This window comes from Homo sapiens, chromosome 18, assembly GCF_000001405.40.
Source record: "Homo sapiens chromosome 18, GRCh38.p14 Primary Assembly".
NCBI classification, from domain to species: domain Eukaryota; kingdom Metazoa; phylum Chordata; class Mammalia; order Primates; family Hominidae; genus Homo; species Homo sapiens.
Window position 1 is genome coordinate 35,124,949 of NC_000018.10, and position 21,189 is coordinate 35,146,137.

The window sequence follows — 21,189 nt, forward strand, 5'->3', positions numbered from 1 at the left end:
TATACCAGTCACAAAGCAAAACGTCAGCTCTCTGGAACCCTGGGGAAGCTCTTCTGCACAGATTTACCCTGAGAATATTCAAACTATTTTAAGTCTTTCCCAATTTAACCATTCTCATTTTAAAGTATATTAGGCACCTCCCTGTGTTTTTAAAGAAGTTTATTTTTTAAAAATTTTTAACAGAAAGGCTTATATTTAAAGGCTGTAATGCTGTCAGTGCTTCTAGGGGGTGTGACTTGCATCCGGAGCTAATGACCCCAGGCACCTGAAGACACAAATATAAATTTTATGGTCTTTCTGTTTGCTACTTTGTAATTAGGATGTTGGTTGAAACTTGTAACTGCTGTCACATACCTGTCTTTATAACCCTTCGGCTCTTGCTAATCTCTTGGTACTAATAAACTGTGAAGTTGGAAATAAACTGTAAAATTGGAAACCGCATCACTAAAAGTTTTATTTACTTGTTTATATAGTTAGTTAAACTTTTGCTCTTTAAGCAAATACATGTTCAGCTGAGCATTGTGCTACGCACTGGGGTTACAAAGATGAGTAAGATGTGTTTCTTGCTCTAAATAAGAGCAGGGGTTGGGGAATTAGGCCAGTGGGAGCACAGAGAAGGAACACCTGCACCACACTGAAGGGGTAGTGGAAGACAGAGATGCCACTTCACAGGGACTGTGTTCAGAGGAAAAGGGAATGGACGGGCCCCCAGTAGTGGCTTGGAATTTCATAATCCATGAAGTACACTGCGTATACATTGGGACATCTATTTTGGCCGCAGAGGCCATTCTTGTGTCTGCGCGTTGTTCTAGGTAGTGAGAGTCTATTGTGACCTGAGCTCCAGATAGGCGAGGTCTTACCTGAAACCAATGGTTTTTCTTTTTTCCACTTCACAACATTATTAGTGATGCTAAGTGGATCACTTCCTTAAGGTGCTGACTCTCAGATCTCCCCATTGTAAGGGTGTGTTTTCCCCTTTAGAGTAACACATGTAAATATCTTGTTCCCCAAAACCCTCTCACCTAAAGTTTACGTGTCCAATGACGAGCCCTTTGTGAATCGCTTATTAGTTACGGATGTTGCAAAATTGTGATTTATTTTCTAGTTCCAGCATTTCTTGCATATTTAGTGGCTGCCAGTGTTCCTTAAAAAGGATTGAAAAGATCTTTATATTCTTTTCTCTTCCCTCTCCCTCTCCCTGTCTTCCAGCCCATCTCTTTTTCAGTCATTATAGATTAATAGATTTTTATTTATCCAGTGCATTACAATAAATGAAGCTATTGTTCTTCCTGATATTCAGCTGTCCCAAGTGTGACTAGTTGAGAGCCCCTTCAAGCTCTTGATATAAATCCTGGAGCACCTCCTTGCTTTTTGACACAAGATATCCTAAGCTTACCCTGAACATTCCCTGCACCATCCCTAGAATCAGCCATTTCTCAAGAAGCCCTTTTATTGCAGAATAACATTTAGAAACCAAAGTTTGGGCATCAGGAGTGCCACTGCTATGGAGATGTCATTGCTCTTAGGTACTTTAGTGGCTAAAGCTAGGAAATGTTTTAAAAGAGAAAAAAATACATTTGGATTGATATTTCTGCTGAAGTATTAATTGGTTATAAGATCTTTTCTCTTGTTTGTTAGAAATTCAATTAGGGTGATACTTTTAAGTTTATCTAAAAACCTTTCCTCTTAAAAATCTTAAAATCCCTTTGTTCTCTTACTCTTATATCTCCAGAGGGAGAAGGGACAATGGCATTAACCTCATGTTACTTGAGGAAAAAAAAAACAGCACTCACAAAGGTGAGATAAGTTGCCCAAAACAACCGTACTTTAACTGTGTACACTCCTGCTGAAATATTTATACTCCTTCTATATGGGAAGGGATCACTGGAGGTATCTCTTATATGTTGTTGTAAGCTCTTTTCATATCATTCATTTTCTATGTATCTAAAACACACTTTTAATATTGCCAGTATTTATCATTTATTCTGATTGCTTTCAGGTGCAGCTAAATCAAGTCCAGCAGCTAAACCAGGATCCACACCTTCTCGACCCTCATCAGCCAAAAGGGCTTCTTCCAGTGGCTCAGCATCCAAATCCGATAAAGATTTAGAAACGCAGGTCATACAGCTTAATGAACAGGTAATGCATCAGCTCTGGCCACGCCTCTAGGAGCAGTGACGTGTGTAAGAGGTAGGGGGCCTAGGATCCCCTAGGACTGGGGTAAGGGAGGGAAGGGTAAGGAAGAATCCTTGGTTTCAAGTAAGTGAGAATAAAAAGAATTGTTCGAAGACAAAATCAGTAGCCCATGATGAATAAAAAGTGTTAGTCACAAATCTCAAAGCTGTACATTAAGATGGGGCAGATGGCTCAGCCTTGCTGCAGACTTCAGGCTACCTTCCCCTCCCCTGCTCCTCAGGGCCGTCAAGAGCTCCAGGCTAGACCGTTGCCCATCCTGCCCACTTCTGGCCATTCTAGATAGTGCTGCATTAGGGTGAGTCTGCCTCCCTCTCTTTTTAAAGGCTGGGTCAGGGTTAGTCTGTCTCCCTCCCACTCTCTTCTTTTTTCCCTTCTTCCTTTCTTTCTTCAGCTATTAGTAGTTGAGCTTATTCTATATGAAAGATATTACGCTTAATGCTGGTAATATAAAGGTAGTAAAATAGATACCTTTCCTTCCTTCATAGAACTTGGAGATAGCAGTTGCACACAGTAAGTTATTACACAAGCAAAACAAAAAACCTGATACTTCCCACAATGGCAGAAGTTGGGTGCTGCAGGAGCACCGAACCCAATATTTGGGGGATCTGAAAGGCCACAATTGTGTTTTAAGTAGAAGAGCTTTCCTTTTAATTTAATATGCCTCACAGTTATGGTAAAATCTAACTAGCTCCACTAGTCTTTGAAATTTTCATTATAAAATCTTAGGTACTGCTCATCTTTCCTAAGATTATATGTAGCTTAAAAGTAATAAAAGCAACGGGTAGTGGAGGGCCCATCGAGGAGAGCCTTTTATCCTGGCTACCCTGCCGCTATGAGAGGAGCCTTTACTTCAGGGCCCCAGGCTGTTCCCAGCCGCTCACTGGGCCCGTCGTGGTGATTAATCTTATTCTTGATGAGCCAGCAAGAGTTTAAAAACAGCTTTTGTGATAATTGTATATTTGTAATCAAGAATCTAGTTTAATGGAGGCAGTTTCTTAGCTAGGGTGTTTCTTTACAATTCTGATCACTTTATGGAAAAAGGTATAAAAACAAGCCATCCAGCAGGTAGGACTTGGATTTGGAAACTAGAATGTTCTAATTACCTGCTGATTCTCAGTTTGAGCCCTGTTTCCAATAATGACTTCTTCTCAATTAAAAGGCAGTAAGGACAGTCATAATGAACCTTGGTCCACATGCCTCAGGCTCCAAGAAAATCAGAGTAGACCTAAAGGCTGTAATGCCTTGGACCTAAAGTTAGTCCTCCCATATCCATGGGTTACCACATCTGCACATTCAAGCAACCAAGTATTGCAAATATTCAAAATAAAAAATAGCAATACAAACATAAAAGCTAATGCAAATTAAAAACAGTACAACATAACTTTACATTGTATTAGGTATTATAAGTAATGTAGAGATAATTTAAAGTATACAGGAGTATGTGCGTAGGTTGTATGCAAATACGATGCCATCTTGTATCGTCTTATATCAGGGACTTCAGCATCCATGGGTTTTCATATCTGAGGGACATCCTGGAATCAGTTCCTCTCAGATACCAAGGCACAACTGTAGAACTCTTTTTCCTTAAGGAACCCAAATTCTTTTGGTATCTTTCTTATCTTGTGTTTCTTCATGACTCCTCCCTCTCTTCCCCGTCTGCCACACCCAGTGTCCCACCTCTCCAGCCCAAAGTATAACCACGTGGAAACCTTGAGGTTCTCTCCCGCTTATAGCCTGAACCGCCCAGCCCCACTTCCCCTCCTTGGGGCTGGCTGTAGGCTCCCGCTAGCTCTCCAGATCACACACAGAGCCCCATCCCCAGGGAACTCAGACCTCTAAAATGCCTCCACTAAACCATGCTACCATCCACAATGCCACTCAGAGAACCGAGTGAGAAGAGAGAGGAATAGGCCAGTGCCGCCTTCCTGTTATAATCCTTTCATTACTTCCCAAAGGCCTGCCTCCCCATTTCTGCCCCCAACACCTTCACACCGAGGAATGTGCCTGCCCCTGTCTGTCCCTCAGAAGGAAGACACACCCTGAATTCTGAGTCCTTCAATCAGTATTACTGAGCACTTACTCCAAATTTATATCCGTGGTTCACTGTTGACGTTCCCTCCTTTTTCTGTCTTGGAGCCAACAGGATGCCCCCTGAGCCTGGTAGGGGGCCCCACAGGCATCATGGTGTTGGAACAAAGAACACTCGGGCGAGGAGAGGCTGAGGGGAGACCCTGATGCTGAAGGGTGAAGCACAGTCATCACTGAGAAAGAGACAAGTGCCATAAACTTAGAGGAGTCTCATTTGCTTGGCCTCCTGCATTTTCTCAGGCAATTTCCCATGATGCACTACAGAAGTACCACTATGCTAGACCATTCCCATGATAGAAATGAATCAAAAGATTTAGGAAAAGTCATAAAGAAAGTAATTAGGGACTCGTTCTGTATAGTGGGTTAGCCACCCAGAAGTGGGTTGGAGTCAGTGGATTAGCCAACTGGAAGTAGGTTGGTCTTCGCTCGGAGCGCGGGTGGGGCCACGGATGGGTGTCGATTAGCCCAGGCAGAGACTATAGCCATCACTGAAACAGCAAGGCCTGCAGGAACCTGCAGTCTATGGCCACACTGGGAGGAGTTGGAAGAATGGTAAGAAGAGTGCTGCTTCTCATTTTCTAAGATCATCTACAGCATCTCCTTCATTGCTTAAGCATCTGCCATAACCCAAGAGGGATGAGGCTGGCATTGGTCTTTGTGAGGGGGACTATGACAGTGGAATTTTGCTTGCCAATTGATCTTTCATCATGTAAGTTAGCTAGTGTTGGTTTTTACTAGGGAATGTTGGTAGTGGCAGCTGTTACCTAATGCATGTGGAATATCACTGAAGCCTGATTTGCACTAAAGGGTTGTCTGGAAAAGCCTCAGCTATGTGTTCATTGTGCAGAACAAAGCCCTAGGGAGCCAGACAGACCTATTTTCGTGGGTTGGATGTGTCCTTGCCTGGTACAGGGGGCTGGGGGGGGGTGGCACATCTAAGCTGCCACAGATCCATCTGCTGGCACTAGCACAGGGTTGAGATGGATTTTATGTCCAAACCTGGGGAGAGGTTGGTTTGTTTTAAAGCAGGAAAGGATTTCTAGAATAAGAGTTTTCTTTTTTCTGGAATTTAAGCTGGTCACCTTCAGTTTTTTTGTACATCTTACAAATGTGCAAGCTATAGTATTAATAGAAATGAGTTAAAAGCAAACTGGTTCTCCACTGCTTTGCAAGCAGCCACATGGGGGTGTCAGTGAGGGTAACCCTGAATCTACAGGATGGATATGGTTTGCCAGGTGCACAGGAAGAGGATGGACACTGCATGGGCTCAGTGTGTGTTTGAATGAATCAGTAATTCCAGATGGATAAAGCATACACAAAGGCCCAGAATTATTAGAAGGAGAGAGGAGGAAATTTGCATTCCAAATGTAATTTTTTGAAATTCTATTAGGGGTGATTTTTAAGGTAATGACAGAGAGATTTTACCTAAGGAGGGCCATGAAAGACTTAATTTACCACCTGAAGCATATACCCTACATAAAAATAAACGAAGGGTTTAAACAAATGGGGATCCTCAGAGACCAGGAACGGGGTAATAGTTTGGGCCTGAGTGTAGCTGCTGCGCCTGTGGGACTATGGTAGACTGAGATTTGAAACCAGATCTAGTCACAACCCCGTGAGGGTTTCTTTAGCTCTGGGTGTCCGAGTTCTTGGACCCTCTTTTGACCACTGCCTCCTCCCTTCACTTGGACTGTTCTGTAGCCACCCTGAGAAGCTGCACAACCCTGGAAACTCTGAACCAGGATCGAGGGGAAGAAAGAGGAATGAGGGCTACTGTGGTGAGGGAATAGGCCTTCCTTGCCCTCCTGCCTTCCCAGTGACGTACCCAAAGCCCGAACTAGAGAAATTGAGACAGATCCACTCAGCCAGGCTTTGGGTCTTACCCAGTTTTCCTCGTGTCACGAACCCTCAGTTTCTCCCTGGAGAGCGTTTGTCTAATGTGGCTCAGTATCATTTGTGAAAGGGTCTAGCTAAGCGTGGCTTCCATGTAAGTGATCTAAGGGACGGAGAGTCCTCAACATAAAACTAAATAGCCATGCTTACAGCCTCTCTGTTCTGCTTCTCTTTCCTCCTCCCATTCTCCATTTCCTGCAGAAGATGAACAAGTATTTCAGTCTGTTCAGGCTGCTAGAGCAGAGTACTGTAGACAGGGTGACTTATAAACAACAGAAATTTACTTCTCACAGTTCTGGAGACTGGGATGTCCAAGATCAAGGCGCCAGTAGATTCAGCGTCTGCTTGAGGCCCCATTCTTCATAGATGGCACCTTCTCACTGTCTTCACATGCTGAAAGGATGAATAAGCTCGATTGGGCCTCTTATCAGGGCACTCATCCTATTCATAAGGGCTCTAACCCCATGACAGCCACCTCCCAAAGGCCCCACCTCCTAACACCATCACCTTGGGTGTTAGGATTTCAACATACACATTTTGAGGAGATACAAACTTTCAGACCATAGTAAGAAGTTAGAGGAAAGATGTGTTCCAGCCTATGTTAGCAGGAGACGAAAGCTCACTTCCAGCCTGCGGGGAACCGCACAAGCAGAAAGACCACTCTGTCCCTGGTTAATAAACGCTCAGTTGCCTGAAGGGAATGACCAGAGTGCTGTGGAGAATTGGACGTTTTGGCCCAGGGTCAAGCTCCAGACAACAGCCCTGTTGTTTCTCCCTCAGACTTACACATTGGTTATTTCTGCTTCTCTCTCTCTCTCTCTTTTGGGTTTTATTCACAGGAATTGCTGGTCATGTCTTATACTATATTTTGGGTGGTTTTTTTTCTTCACTCTCACTCCCTTGCAGGTACATTCATTAAAACTTGCCCTTGAAGGCGTGGAAAAGGAAAGGGATTTCTACTTTGGGAAGTTGAGAGAGATCGAGCTACTCTGCCAAGAACACGGGCAGGAAAATGATGACCTCGTGCAGAGACTAATGGACATCCTGTATGCTTCAGAAGAACACGTAAGTGTGAGGAGCATGTGACTCCTGTGTTCTAAAATGACTCTCTTGGTCAAAACACAGTAGATCAGCACTCCTTAGAATACTTCCCCAGGACCTCAATGAGAATTACTGCTCAGCCAAGTGCACCTGATAGTCCCAAAGGAATAAACATCGTTATCATCATGATCTATTGACCCATGCCTGTGGGACAGGCAGTCATAAATTAATCTGGGAAGAGACAGGTGGGGTGGGGAAGGCTTTGACAGAAAAATATGCTTATGCAGCCAAACTGCAAGTGGTCTGCAGCTCTCTGAGCAAATGAGCATTAAGAATTTGTATACGGATTCCTCCTTCTTCATGCAAGTACAGAGTGTAGTTAAAGGAGAAAATAATCTAGATGCTTTTCCCATCCCCAGAAGCCCCATAATTGACTGTTTTTATTTCGTAGCTGGTTGTCTTGGTTACTCATTGCCAGGACAGACTAGAGCTGTGGGACAGCCACATGCCCATCTCCTTTATGGGGAGGAGCTGCCACCAGAGTTGCTATTCACAAGTGCTGCTATTCACAAGTGCTGCTATTCACAAGTGCTGATGGAGACCCAGGATGTGGCTGTGTCAGGGTGATGAAAAGCAGATGTGAGAAATGGAGGAGGAATAAGAATCTAGGAAGCAAGGAGAGAAAGCGGGGCAGGATGCATGGCAGAGACTGAGGCAAGGCACCCCGGGTCTGCCAGTGCCAGGAGAGAGAGGCCCAGCAGCCAGAGGTGGAGGTGGGAGCCTGATGTGGCTTCACCTTCCACAGAGCCAAGTTGAGGGGTTGGGGTGTCCAGCTTCTCTTATGCCAGGCTGATGCTAGTGGAAGTGTCCCGGTCTCTGGGTGTTCTGAGCCTGTGATGTTCTGAGGGCCTCCAGTGGAGTTGTATGTGTTGATATTTCTATAGGACATAGCAAGCCATCAGCAAGTTTACTCTCTTATTCCAGCTGAATCCCAGGCAAATGTTTACTCCATTTATGCCTCAAAATACTAGCAGTGAAATTCTCCTAAACTGTAAGGCACTGTATCTGTGGTTTGGAAGCTCTTTATCACTTTTTTTTTTCACTTCTTCCAAATATTTTGATTTAAATTATTTATTGGTTATCAATAGCTCAGAATTTGAAGCCCTGATAATCCACCTGGTTTCCATGATGGCTTCATAAAATACGGTTCTCAGTATTTTCAGATCTGATGGAATAAACCAGAGACTGATTTGTAGTATGTCTGCAGCTGCCACAGTGTCACATATATGACGTCCTGTGTGTACAGAGTGCTTGCCCTCTGTAAGCACTAGATGGACTATGGTTATTCTCTTCACAAGCTTATTTGAGGCTAAATCAGCTGAGATCTCCACAGCGCCATGAGACTGAGTGAATGGCGCTGCTGTCTGCGATAACGCCTGCTAGTGGGAATAAGGCCGGCGTGCAGGATCAAATCTTCTTCCCAGCCCTGCACTTCAAACGGGGAAACCCTGAGTCTAACCTCATGCCAGATTTTGTCCCAAGAGGGAGTCCATGTGCAGGAGCACTGTCTGACAGTGAACTCCAAATGAAGTGTTGGAGAGGTCCACTGAATTCCCGGCTAAGATAGGTGGACAGCCTCAGGCAAGAGCCCTTGCCTCCTGGGTGTGATTTCCAGGGGGTCTACCTAGATGACCGCACTCAGTTTCTGTTCTGCCATACCCATCACCACCCGACCCCACACACACATACATCCCAGCACCACCTTGCCACCATCTGGATTCAGAGAGCCATTCCTGCAATGTACATGCAACTAAAATGCAAGCACCCCAAGAAGAAATAACACTTTAAGGCCTCATCATTCATTAAGACTAAATAATAAGTTTAGCAGACACCTCTTCTGAGACACCTGGTTGGGGTTTGAGGTAGAAGGGTCTAGGACTTGACGTATATTAGCTTATTAGCTCCTATAATTCTCTAGAGAATCCTATTAGGTAGCTATTGTCATCCCATTGTACAGATGAGGGAAACTAAGGCAGCAGAGAGGTTGAATAACTTTCCCAAGTCTAGGAGCAGAATAATTTCCATTTGAACCCTGAAATCTGAATCCTGAGTTTATGTTCTCCCTTCTCCAAGTCTGAGGCACCTTTTAAGTGCTATTATGACAGTAGTAATGGCTAATACTGATTGAGCATTTAGCATGTGCTAGGGATTGTATTCATTTACTACGTAGATTACTGACCTTAACCACATCCCTGTGAGGTGAGTAATTACTTATCTACATTTTACAGATGAAATTACTAACCCAATGGCTCATAGTTAATAAGCTCCAGCACTAGGATTTGAACCCAGGTTTATCTAACTCAGAGGCTAAAATCATAAGGACTGAGTTACCTCCCTCGCCGAGTGGTGGGTACCATGGAGCAGGGAGGAAACGAACATAGTACTAGTTGGGGAAAGCCTCAAGATTAACTGTCTACTTGACAGTCTTCAGTTGAACACGCCCTGTGTGTGAAGAAGAAAGTTTCCAAATTTTTACGTGGGTTTTCTCTAAATAACTCCCCTTACCTCGTTTTGTTGATTTTCACCTTCGAAAGCCTAGTTGTGGCCTCTTTTTCGGGGCATTCATCTGATTTTAAATGAGCATCCACAAAGAACTTCAGTTTTCTTCTAGCCAGTTTGTAACTTTTTTAAACCCACTTTGTTGTTGTATCTCTGGCACTGCGCTGACATCATCAAATAGCTTTAAGGGAAGGAAGAGAGAGGGAAAGAGACAGAGGCATTGCCCTGTAAGTATATGCTGGGGAGTACCCAAAATTCAAGAAGAGAATTACTCAGAGTAACCAGGCAGTTGAATCTGGCAGAGAAAACAGCCTTAACATAAATTGCATGTGTGGGTTACCAGAGCAAGATGTTCAAATGCAGTTACTGGCTTAATTTTTCTAGTTCCAGGATATTTTTATTGCAACTTTGTGTCTGCAAAACTCCAAAAGAGACACATCAGGCTATACTGAGTTTTCTACAGAGAGTAAGCCGTTTGATCTGGAATATGCCAGGTGTCCTTATTTGGAATGTGACAAGACCCATTTGTTTAAACCTTGGTTTTTATGCAGAAAGAAAAGGAAGGCTGCAGTGGGCCTGGATGCCGTGCTGGGTGCTTTCCATATCCTGTGCATGCATGACTCTGCCGAGAGGCTCAGGAGCAGCTAGATACTCTCCTTTCTGCCCCCTAGCACTCCACCTCCCAGAGGTCCAAGAAATCATCCTAGATATCTTAAAGCCTCCAAGCATTTTCATTTCTTCCTGAGAATATGGAATCTGGTTTCTCTGGAACCACCCAGAAGCACATAGCCAGTCCTACACTGGGGGAGTGAGCCTTCCTAAAGCTGTACCCTTGCCTGCCTTCCCCTATGTCTATGGTCTGGAAAAGCAACGGTTTTGAAAAACAATGTGCTTAGTGGTTACGATGCCATCATACACCACTGCCCCCATCTCTGGGAATCCTGCCTTTGCCCCACTGTGCTTTCCCCTGACATTGTGTCCTGTTTTCTGGCCAGCCCCACACTTGTGTGATGGGTAGATTTGCACCCATGTGCAGGGATGATGTACATGGCGTCTGGGAGGAAGTGCCAGCACTTTGTTCATGATGCTGTTGGTACAGCTGTGTGTACAGAGCTGAGATGGCACAGATGCCTGGTGGTCTGCCTTTCCCAGAGCCCTCCTGGAGCTAGAAGGCCAGGTTGCAGCACATGCTGTTCAGCTAAACATAGATGGACATGCTTTGCTTTGACATTTGAGGTAGGAGTATTTGCTGGGGAGATCTCTTCCCCTGAGTGATTACTTAACACTCTTATTTTGTGATGATTGGCCTCTGATTGTTATATTTAAGCCATCCCAGAATATGGTGTTTGGAAGATGTGAAAATCCAGGTGGGAGTTTTGAGCAGAAAATCAACAGAGGTGGTTCAATTCCCAGTTGTAGAGACCTAATGGAAGTTTCCAGAGCAGATACTTATTCTCATTATGTTTTCCCCTGATACGTAACTTGGAGCCACAGGAGTCTGGGCTGAAGCATTGGTTACCTGCTCCCTGTGGATTCTGTCAGCTGAAGGGCACCAGCTTATGAACAGTTACTTGTTTCCTGCAGGGACAGGCTGTGCTTCTGTCACTGGAGGGCCTCTTGTCACTGGACTAAGTGCTGGCTATAGAAAAAGACCCAACCCTACCTCAGAGGAGCTCCCAGTCCCAGTAAGGGAGACAGACAGGGACATGACTAACTGGAATATGTGTCAGATGATGACAAATGTGATAATGGGGACATAAATAAACTTGTGTGGGGAGCAGATAAAAGCCGCCTGGAGGACCACGCAGAGACTTCACAGCGAAGATGGCATTTGTGTTGGATGTTACAGGGTGACTGGGAACATCAACAGCTCTAGAGCTAAGGTAGGGAGAAACTGCATGAGCAAAGCAGAGAAGAAAGACCAGCAGCCACAGCTGGCAAGGTGGCAGGAGACAAGGCTGCAGGGTGGTGCCTTCCACAGCTAGGAAGCCAGGAGCTGTTGGAGCTTCCTGATGGGCCTTCCTCTCTCCTTTGCCCCCATTTTCCTCCCACAGTGGCCTAGAGCCTTCTTCAATACCATCTTCCAGTTTGCCTCTCTATCTAATGATTATAAGGAAACTAAAGAATGATAGTTTTCTTACAATCACTCACAGCTCAACGGAAAGATGTGAATAGATTGATACGCACATATTAGAATTATTAGGTGATGCTCTGGTGCATTAGTCTCATATTTGGTATAGGTTTTGCCTGGCCTCCTACTTAGACATGGGTTTAAGTTCTTCATTCTCGTATAAGGCATAGAAAAAGATTGTTTTTTCCTGTGAGCCTGCAATAGCATTGTGTGGGCTGTGAGCTCTCAGTTGTGATTTGTAACACCCCAGAATTACAGATGTGTTCTGCCAGACTCTCAGACTGCCTTAACTTGCAGGCCAAGCATGAGCAATCCATTGATAAATTGGGAGCTTTGCTGGTATTTCCCAGTGAGAGTTGTCTGGGGTCCACAGTTCCTGCAGATGCATGACATCACAGAGGGGTCCTGTGACTGAGATTTAAGCTGGATGTGCATGAGAAGCAGCTGCCCTGGGCATCTGGAAGCCTCAGAGCCATAGAAAAGGCCAGCAAACCTGCTGCCTTGTTGGATGTGTTTGGAAAGGAGGCCTAGCCTAGTGGCTTCCTGGCCCTCTAGTTTATTACAGGCTCAATGATTACTTGAATCTAGGTCTTTCAACTTTAGCTCCATTAGCCCACAATAAACTCCCAGTTGTGACGTGAGCAAATGAGAATTTCTGCAAAATGTAAAACAGTTCCTCATTTCTGAAATCTTCTTTTCAGAAGTCTAACATGCACAGAAACAATTATATAAAGAAAAGCATACTTTAGACCAGCTGAAGTTTGAGCAATACAATATGGAAGACACCACACTCACGTTCAAGAGTTAGGATGCTGAATAAAACAATATAACTCACCGTGGAGGGCTCAGAGCCCGGCTGGAGAGACAGATGTGTAGCCACCCAGCAAGAACACACGCGGGACTGTGGTGCGCCCTCCCACCGAAGCAGAAACTGAGGATAGGAAGCTTGGAGAGGGAAGCCATTATCTCGGGGCTGCAGGCAGTGAGAGAGGCTTCAGGGAGGAGTGACTTTCTCATAATTTAGAGGAGCATGTGGCGGGACAGACAGCTGGGAGTTCCCAGCCCACCATTCTTGTTAAACTCCCATGAATGTTAGTTTCATTCTTCTCCCTTGGATGAGAGGAGAGCACTGGCTTAGGAAGGCCAGTAACTGTTTCTTGTCCTGCGCTGGCCCAAGAAGAAGTTCTCTCCTGCTCCCCTGAGCATGTATGGCCACACTGTTGGTGAGGCACTGACTCTGAGCTGAGAGGACCAGCCTCACATGTGCCAGACAGAAGGCAAAGCAGTGTGCAGAGGAAGTGCCAAGAGCACAGCTGCTGTGATGCCCAGGGGTCTGGGGTCGATCCGGCAGAAGGGGAGTAAAGAGGGGATCAGGGCTCTGAGATCTCCCTGAGGTCAAAGAGCACCTGCAATTAAGGAATTTGGGAGTGCAAGGGTCAGGAAGACACATGATGTGATCAGAGAGAGCAAGAGATTGGGCCTAACGTTCCAGAAGTGGAGCTAGTTCTAGGTGGTGAACACAGGGTGGTCATGGGGTAGGGAGAGCTCACATTTGCTGAATAAGGGGCCTGTCGGCACGGTAAGAGACAATGCCAGATTTTTCCCCAAGTTTTCAACACAATGTCACTGTCTACTGTTGGTTGACACAGAAAGGGTTACTTTTTTAAAAAAATTACTTGCACTTCTAGAATATATTCCAGAGTTCTCCCACTAAGAAATAATAATCACAGCTCACATTTCTATTTACCATGTGCCAAATACTCTTCTAGGCACTTTTCCTATTTTAACTCATTAACTCCTCTGTTGGATTCGAGGAGTCCTTTGATTCATTGACTAATGAAAATGCATTGAAAATGCTCCTACATGGATACCTTATCCCCAACTTTACAGGTGAGGAAACTGGGGCCCAGAGCAGTTAAGTTCTAGACCCAAACCCACACGGCCTGTAAATAACAGAGCTGGGATGTGAACTCGAGTCCATGTTGTAACCTTGACATTCTACTTACTGCCTCTCAGAAAATAAGTGGCTCGTGACCTTGGCTGATAGTCTGATAGTCTCAGTCATTCATCCTTGAATCCACTGCAATTTGTTCCTCTCAACACGACATGGATTGAGTCTTACATAAGAAAGATGTGGCACCGAGAATCCGATCCCTGACCTCAGTAACCTCAGCATCCAGTGGGTGGGGCCAAAAGGGTCAAGACAAGATTCCAAATCAGTGTCATAGCAGAGGAAGAAAACAAATGCTGCAGGAGAAGAGAGAAGGAATTCTGGCTCAGTGATCATGCCATATTTGAATTGGCTAAAGATGGGTTTGTCCTAAGCTCCAAGGAAGAGGGGCCCGACAGACAGGGAAGGGCTTGGGCAGTTCAGTGCTCGGGAGCCAGCGTGCCAGGTGTGCGAGGCATGGGCACTTCCATATGTCCCAGCACATGCTCCAGACTGCATCACAGAAGCTGTGTGCCCTTACTGAGGGAACAGGGAACTCCTTTGATTAGCCATGCTCCCTCAGCTTGGGTAAAAAACAGCAAATATTTTGTGTGAGTTCAGAAAATGAATGAATGTACAGATACGGCTGACTGAGGCTAGTGCTCCCTGGAGTTGGTGTTCATGCCATGCTTCACTGGGTTAGATAAAGGAATAAATAGGGCTGTTTATTTCTAAATAGTGGGAAGAACAATTCACCTATCTGATTCTCAGTTGATAAACATAACGTAAGCCAAAAGGGCCCCAAGCAGTCTAAGTAGATGTCCCAAAGTCCTTGAGCTAAAGCTCCTGAGCTCCCTCATTGGGAGGGGCCTCTTTGCCTGGGACAACCCATGAAATGTGGCTGCTGTCCTTTCCTTAGCCTGGGAACCTCTAACACTGCTGCTCTGGTATCTAAGCCTACATCAGGTTAGTAACATAACAAAGGGTCTCCTTCAGGGCGACACTGCCGAGCAAGAAGAATGACAGCAAGGGAGGGACTAGGAAATGGAGCAAAAGCCCACATCCCTATCCATTAGTGAGGAGTGACACCCCCCACCAAAATACCATGGAGGCCAGGGGTGCTGCTTTTATATTACAGCAGCTTTACTCATGGTTGTCATGATGCTCTTGGATCACTGTGTTTGGTTTACTCTTTTACAAAGGTTAGGAAAGTATGCCATGTATTCTAAGAAGATTTCCTTCCAAAACAAAATAGTTGGGTGCCTAAAGCCTGACGACTGTGCTTTCTAGAATGATCTGTTCTTTGATCACATGGGGAAGCTAAGGCGCCCCTGCATATGTATCAGACACCGGAAGCTGGGAGACGTTTGCATGGCGAGTTGTGCCTAACTAAGCCTGGTGCCCTCCACAGCCTTGAGACGCCATGCTGGCAGTGGCAATGGGCTGGGATGCTGCAGGGCCCCATTCCCAGTCAATTATCTCAGCTGAAACTTCTCCCCTGCCCACAGGAGGGCCACACAGAAGAGCCGGAAGCAGAGGAGCAAGCCCACGAACAGCAGCCCCCGCAGCAGGAAGAGTACTGACCCACCCCGGCTGCTCTTGACACTTCCATTGTGTGTGGGAACGTTTCTTCTGGAGAATTGGAACATGTGTGGCCCCAAGCTCAACAGAAACCAGTTGTTCCCAATCTGCCGTTACCATCAACGCACTGTTGCATATGCCAGCCACTGCGCTTGGTTCCCATTTTCTTTGCCAAGGTGTATTAGCGGACGGCCCTCTGGCCACCTACCCGAGAGATCGTAGGGTCACATACATCCAACTTCACCACTTGGCTGCTTGAGATTGGTTCTGCTCTTTTCTTCATTTCTTTCCAGAACAACTCTTTCCCACCCCAACACCACTGCCACCACCCCTCTTTTTATCCTGGTGTGAAACAATGGTAATTTGATATATGGTATTTATATTGGCATTTTTCAACCCAGTGTCACTAGATGTCACACACATTTGTGGTGCTTTGATGTTTGCAAGTCTAACCTCTGAACATAAATTTGGTCAAATAATTGGAACAAAGGGAAACAGATACTTGATATGAAAGCCATAATGACGGTGACTTGTGTCGTGGGGGAAAACATAAGGTCATTTTCTCCCTCTACTCACAATACTAAAGGGAAAAAATGGATTCAAAGCTAGGATTTCAGGGCCCAGCAGTGTTCCTCCATCAGCATGTTAGACAACTACACAGTATGTTGTTAGTTTTGAAAGACATTCACTCAAGGAAAACACCATCTCAACTTTGCCCGCTCACCATGTCCCTTGCCCCCATGTAGCCCATTTCCCAGGTTATGCTCTTTTCTTTCTCAGGGTCCTCTTTGGTGGGCAGCCACTCCCCGAGATGTTGCCATCAGTTTTCTGCAGTCCAAAGAGGGTATGGTTAGGTACGGGTCTTCCTGCCTCATTCCTCTTCCTCTTTGTGTAGGTTTCAGCCACAAAACTGTCATTCACTCTAGGGGACCCCTACTAAAGGGTAACTTCAGGTGTGCAGCCCTGAGCTCCAAGGCTCTGCACCATGCCACACACTTGCTGTAAGGCTAGAAGTGAAGACCTTATTAATAGGAGCATAATTGCGAGGGAGAATCATGGTTCTGCAGTCTGGTGTAGACACTGGAATAACAGCACAGAAAAATCTATGACTCCCAATATCTTCTAGAATAAAGAATTTTCCCTCTTTAACACAAGGGCCCTCCTTGTCATTGACCTTAGCTAAACCATGGCAATTCATAAATAGAGGAAACATTAATGAATTAAAAGCATTCCTTATTTTTTAACTAATATTTGTACATTTTCTTAGTCTCTTTCCAAGTCTTTGCCTCTTTTTTTTCTTTATTTTTATTTTTTCCTTTGACAGATGGTATCCCTTCCTGGATCATTCATTTCACCTTGGTTTCTAACTTTAGGTTTACTTTCACTTGTTATTTGACTTAGCAGGTGCAACAAAAACAAGAAACAAATGTGCCCACCCCACTTTCCGCTTAACTGAAAAGCTTAAAATAAATTTCTGAATTATGTATCCTGAAGCTTTGAAATTTCTTTATTAATCGATGAAATATGAATTCTAAATTCTAGCATTGAAGCTTTTCACCAAAAGAAGTCTCTCCAAAATAAATCTTTTGCAGCAAAGTGATATTTATTGAGTTATGTGGAAAAGATGGCTTGTATTTTTCAGATTATTACAACACACTGTGCAGAATTAGACAGATGTTCCGTGGTGTTTGGTTTCCCTTTCTTCTCTCTCCTGCTCACTCTGCATTATAGCAGCAGCTTATTTCTCTAAGGCTGGACAGCCTGGCTCTCGGCAGTGACGTCCTCCCACACCTGGTCACAAGTAGTAGTGGCTGTGCTATACCCAGCATCATGCTTAACAGCGTGTTGCCCTTCTGAGCCTGTTGTACTCACTGATCTCTTTAAAAACAAAAAATAGCTCTTGTAAAAGGTCACAATAACTCTATGCACCTGATACTGCAGTGGTTCCTAGGCCATTCTTCATCTGCTCTGGACATCTCAGTCATACCCAATGCTCAGTGGATCATGACCAAACTCCTGTCATGTGGATGCACGTGAGTGGGTAGCAGGGAGTCAGGATCCTGCCTTCTCCAGCAACCCCTTACTGCTGTATAACTTGCATAAGCCTCCCTGGTGACTCTTGCAGGAACCACTCCATTGCCCTCCAGCTCCCCAGCCTTCTCAGTTATAAACATGCTGGCCAGATCTCTTAGCCTGCAAAGAGAACTTTCCCCAGTCACCATAGACCATTCTCCTTCCTGAAGGCTTGGGGCAGACCATTCGTTTATTTAGAGAAGAGCTATACATTCTTCTTTCTGGTCCCATCTTAAACGTCTTCTGTTGTGCTGCACCCCAGATGGTGTCTCAGATGCTTTGGGGAATCTTTAACAGCTGAATTTGAGTCAGTCCTCTTAGGCTGCACCTCCAGCCTCTGCAGATCCCCCCTCATTTCCCATGGATGGTGGGACCCCATTATTCTCTCATCTCGGCATTCAGGGAACAGTTTCCTTAGCGGCCCCTGGTCACATGTCATCGGGCTGGGCAGGAAGCGTCCCTGATTGCGTGCTCCACTTCTCCCTCTCAGGAAGCCCAGTTTCATCCTTAGTACCCCCCCTCGTGCCCGCTGTCGGCTGGTTATAGCACTTCCACTGCTACTGTCAGATAGGAAGTGATCGAAGCAGGGGGCAAAGAGAAAGCCCATATTTGTTCTAAGCAGAAAAGCAGGAAAAAAAAAAAAAAAAAAGAAAGAAAAACACCTGTTGACCTGAGAGAAGTAAATTCCAGAAGGGAACCAAGAACTCTTCCCTTCCCTGGTGAGTATTTCCATTATTCCGTTAAGGTTTAATATGCATTCAGATTACTTTTACTAAATAGGACACCATAAAGCTTTTGTTATATATTAAATGTAAACTGAAAGGAATGTAAACATATGTATTGTTAATTATAAATATAGATAAGTAATGACATAATAGATGAAAAAGTCTTATTCAGATGTATCACATTCATTTTACATTACCCACCTATTGTCGCATGGTAGAATAGTTTTTTGTCTCTGAATATGTGAATAACTTGACTTGCATTGATCTTTTTACATATTTAATAAAAAAAAAAGTATATGTTAAAATCTGCCTGGAGTTACAGATTCTTAAATTTTTATGCTGAAGCTTCCCTTTTCAGTCAGCATGTGAATAGGAATAGATTTGTGTGGATTTACACATCTACCCACATTTTATTATGATTTCCCCGGGGCGGGGGTTGTCTTTGTTTTTATTGATGGCCAATGTTGTTAACAAGAGTTACAGACTCGTATTTGATATCAAATGTAGCAGCTATAATACCTTTTAAAAACTTTACCAAAAAAAAAAAAAAAAAGACATAAAGAGAAAACATTCCCTTGGGAAACATTCCACCTGCAAGCAAACAGAATCCTAGCTCCTGCAGGTCCAGCATACTCCATCTGGACAAGACAGTGCTGGGCAAATAGGAAACTGTGGGAGAAGCAGGCAGATGTTTCTAAGTACAGCTTTGTGGCAGAATGACCTGCTTGACAAAAACCCTTTGAATAAGTGTTTGTTGACTTTAAACGGCAATGATTTATCGACATGAGCTATAATTGTAATAACAATTTAACAGATACAGGAATAGGTGAAAAGAGAAATGTATTTCAACTGGCCCAGTAATCACCTGTGGAGACTGCAGAGCAGGCCACACTGGGATGCAGACGTTACCCTGGAGCCTGCAGGTTACTGGGCTTCAGCTAATACCCTTTTCACCGTGAAGAGTGCCAGCCTTCCCTACGCTGCTTCCAAGCACCACCTAGAGGCCAGTTTGGTTTCTCTACTGTCCTTTGGCCACTATTTTCCAGTCACTTGCCTTTAGGCACATTTCTATTAAAATAAGTGGGAAAATAACAGAAAGCAAAGATGTTACCCCTCTTCTCCATCTACATTCATTTCCTCCCAAGGTACACCACTTGTGACAGAAGTTTGTGAGCCATTACCTGGGTTTGAAATTTCATGCTCAAAGTACATGTGTGTTTCCCATTTAATCCACGAACTCTGGGGTTTTAAACACTTGATCTTAGACATTTGTGCACAGACAAAAATACATGTGATTCATCTTACAAAATGTACACTGGTGGACTCTAGTAAATCTGTCACTGATGGTTCAAAGGTGGCGAAATAACATGCTTGTTCTATTTTATTAAATCTGACATCATTTCTAAAAATTTGTTGCTTCTGGTACTATGGATAGGCTCAAGTCCAGAGACACCCCTTCTCAAAAAAGTTAATGGAATTCCATTGAATTTGAGTTACAAAATGCCAGTTCTCTAAAACACACACAGACAACTTGGTTTCTGACTTGTTTTATTCCTTTTAACTGCTAGAACACAACTATGATCATTAATTAAGGCTGCTATCACTAGTAATAACTTTTACTGACCCAGTTTCTCAGCACTGAGGCAATGTTGCCAAATAGCACAAATGATGGATAAAAACATCTCCGTGGATGTCTAATAGCTCCTGTCTTGCCAAACTAGGAACTCATAAAAGATGTTTTCCACTCATTAGAGGAATCCTGGCTTTATTTGCCTAAAGGAAAGCAAAGCTGAGGAGAAAATCCATTGATCCCTGGAGGACCCTCACGTGGCATTGGTACTTTGGATCACAAGACTGCCCCACGGGCAGACCCCCCAACTCTGAGCCAGACCCCATGTCTTGTATAGATTACGAGTACACAGAAGGTGCATTTACTGAGGCTGTGCTTCTGTTTTGGGTTTACAAATGTCATCAAAATGGAAGACCCAGCTGAAGTTAATTTGTTGGATGCCTTTTTCTCTCAATTCACTGGAAAAAAAAAATGTTTAACTTTTTAGCTTCCAAGTTTTAATTTCTAAAACAGGTTTCTTGTGGTATTTTGCAACGATTTTATCATCAAGCCTGGTGATAAATTGTTTTTAAAGGGTAATGATGTATTAATGTACCTTTGAATTTACGATTCTCAGTAGGAAACTAACCCAAGACCTAAATGTTTTCTTTTCTAGAGAATAAAAAAGTTAAGTACATGTTTCCTTCTGTGTAGCTAACATCCTTCATATTTTTACACTATGGTATTTCTTTAGGTCTTGAAGGTTATCCATATACAATAAAAAAAAATATGTTTAGTAAAATGGTTTTTGTCAAATCTGAGAGCTTAAATGAAACTTTGGAAATTAAAAAGTAATGAAAAGGTCTCATAAATGTGTTTGGAACTTACTACTAGGATGCTGTCTTCTAATCTGATATATTTATTATGTAGATGAAACATGAACTTCTAACGGAACAGTTTTTCTTCCAGCTTGAAAGATCTTTTAGAAAAAGACCACAGAAAACCAAGCCAAATGTTAGTTTCTTTTAGGCTAAGTTATGTCAAGATAGGCTCAGAGGCCATCCTGTCCTGCAAACAAAGACATTGTCCAGTCACCTGAGCTTTAAAAAAAAAAAAAATGCAGAGAAGGAAAATGTGAATTTTACCCCAGAACTTTTTTTTTTATATTTTACTTTAAGTTCTGGGATACATGTGCAGAATGTGCAGGTTTGTTACATAGGTATACATGTGCCATGGTGGTTTGTTGCACCTGTCAACTCGTCATCTAGATTTTAAGCCCCACATGCATTAGGTATTTGTCCTAATGCTCTCCCTCCCCTTGACCCCCCACTCTGCAACAGGCCCTGGTGTGTGTTGTTCCCCTCCCTGTGTCCATGTGTTCTCATTGTTCAGCTCCCACTTTCGAGTGAGAACATGTGTTTGG

General features: G+C 44.0%; 1 protein-coding gene across 5 annotated transcripts in view, besides 1 other annotated feature; it reads left to right on the forward strand.

Moving 5' to 3' along the window:
- Window positions 1–18,522, forward strand: part of MAPRE2 (microtubule associated protein RP/EB family member 2) — a 166,444-nt gene extending 147,922 nt beyond the window's left edge. For all 5 annotated transcript variants that reach the window (NR_046177.2, NM_001143826.3, NM_001143827.3 and 2 more), the window contains 3 exons: window positions 2,000–2,139; window positions 7,084–7,242; window positions 15,347–18,522. Coding sequence is in view for 4 of the 5 variants with exons in the window: in NM_001143826.3 (NP_001137298.1) it covers window positions 2,000–2,139; window positions 7,084–7,242; window positions 15,347–15,421 (374 nt within the window). In the remaining variant the exon portion in view is untranslated. The remainder of the gene's footprint in view (window positions 1–1,999; window positions 2,140–7,083; window positions 7,243–15,346) is intronic.
- Window positions 13,857–14,852: an enhancer, noted in NCBI's record as "H3K4me1 hESC enhancer chr18:32718769-32719764 (GRCh37/hg19 assembly coordinates)". NCBI's record gives its function as "activates a minimal SCP1, AML or CMV promoter by ChIP-STARR-seq in primed H9 embryonic stem cells {active_cell/tissue: H9 hESC(primed)}" and the evidence as "EXISTENCE:reporter gene assay evidence [ECO:0000049][PMID:30033119]".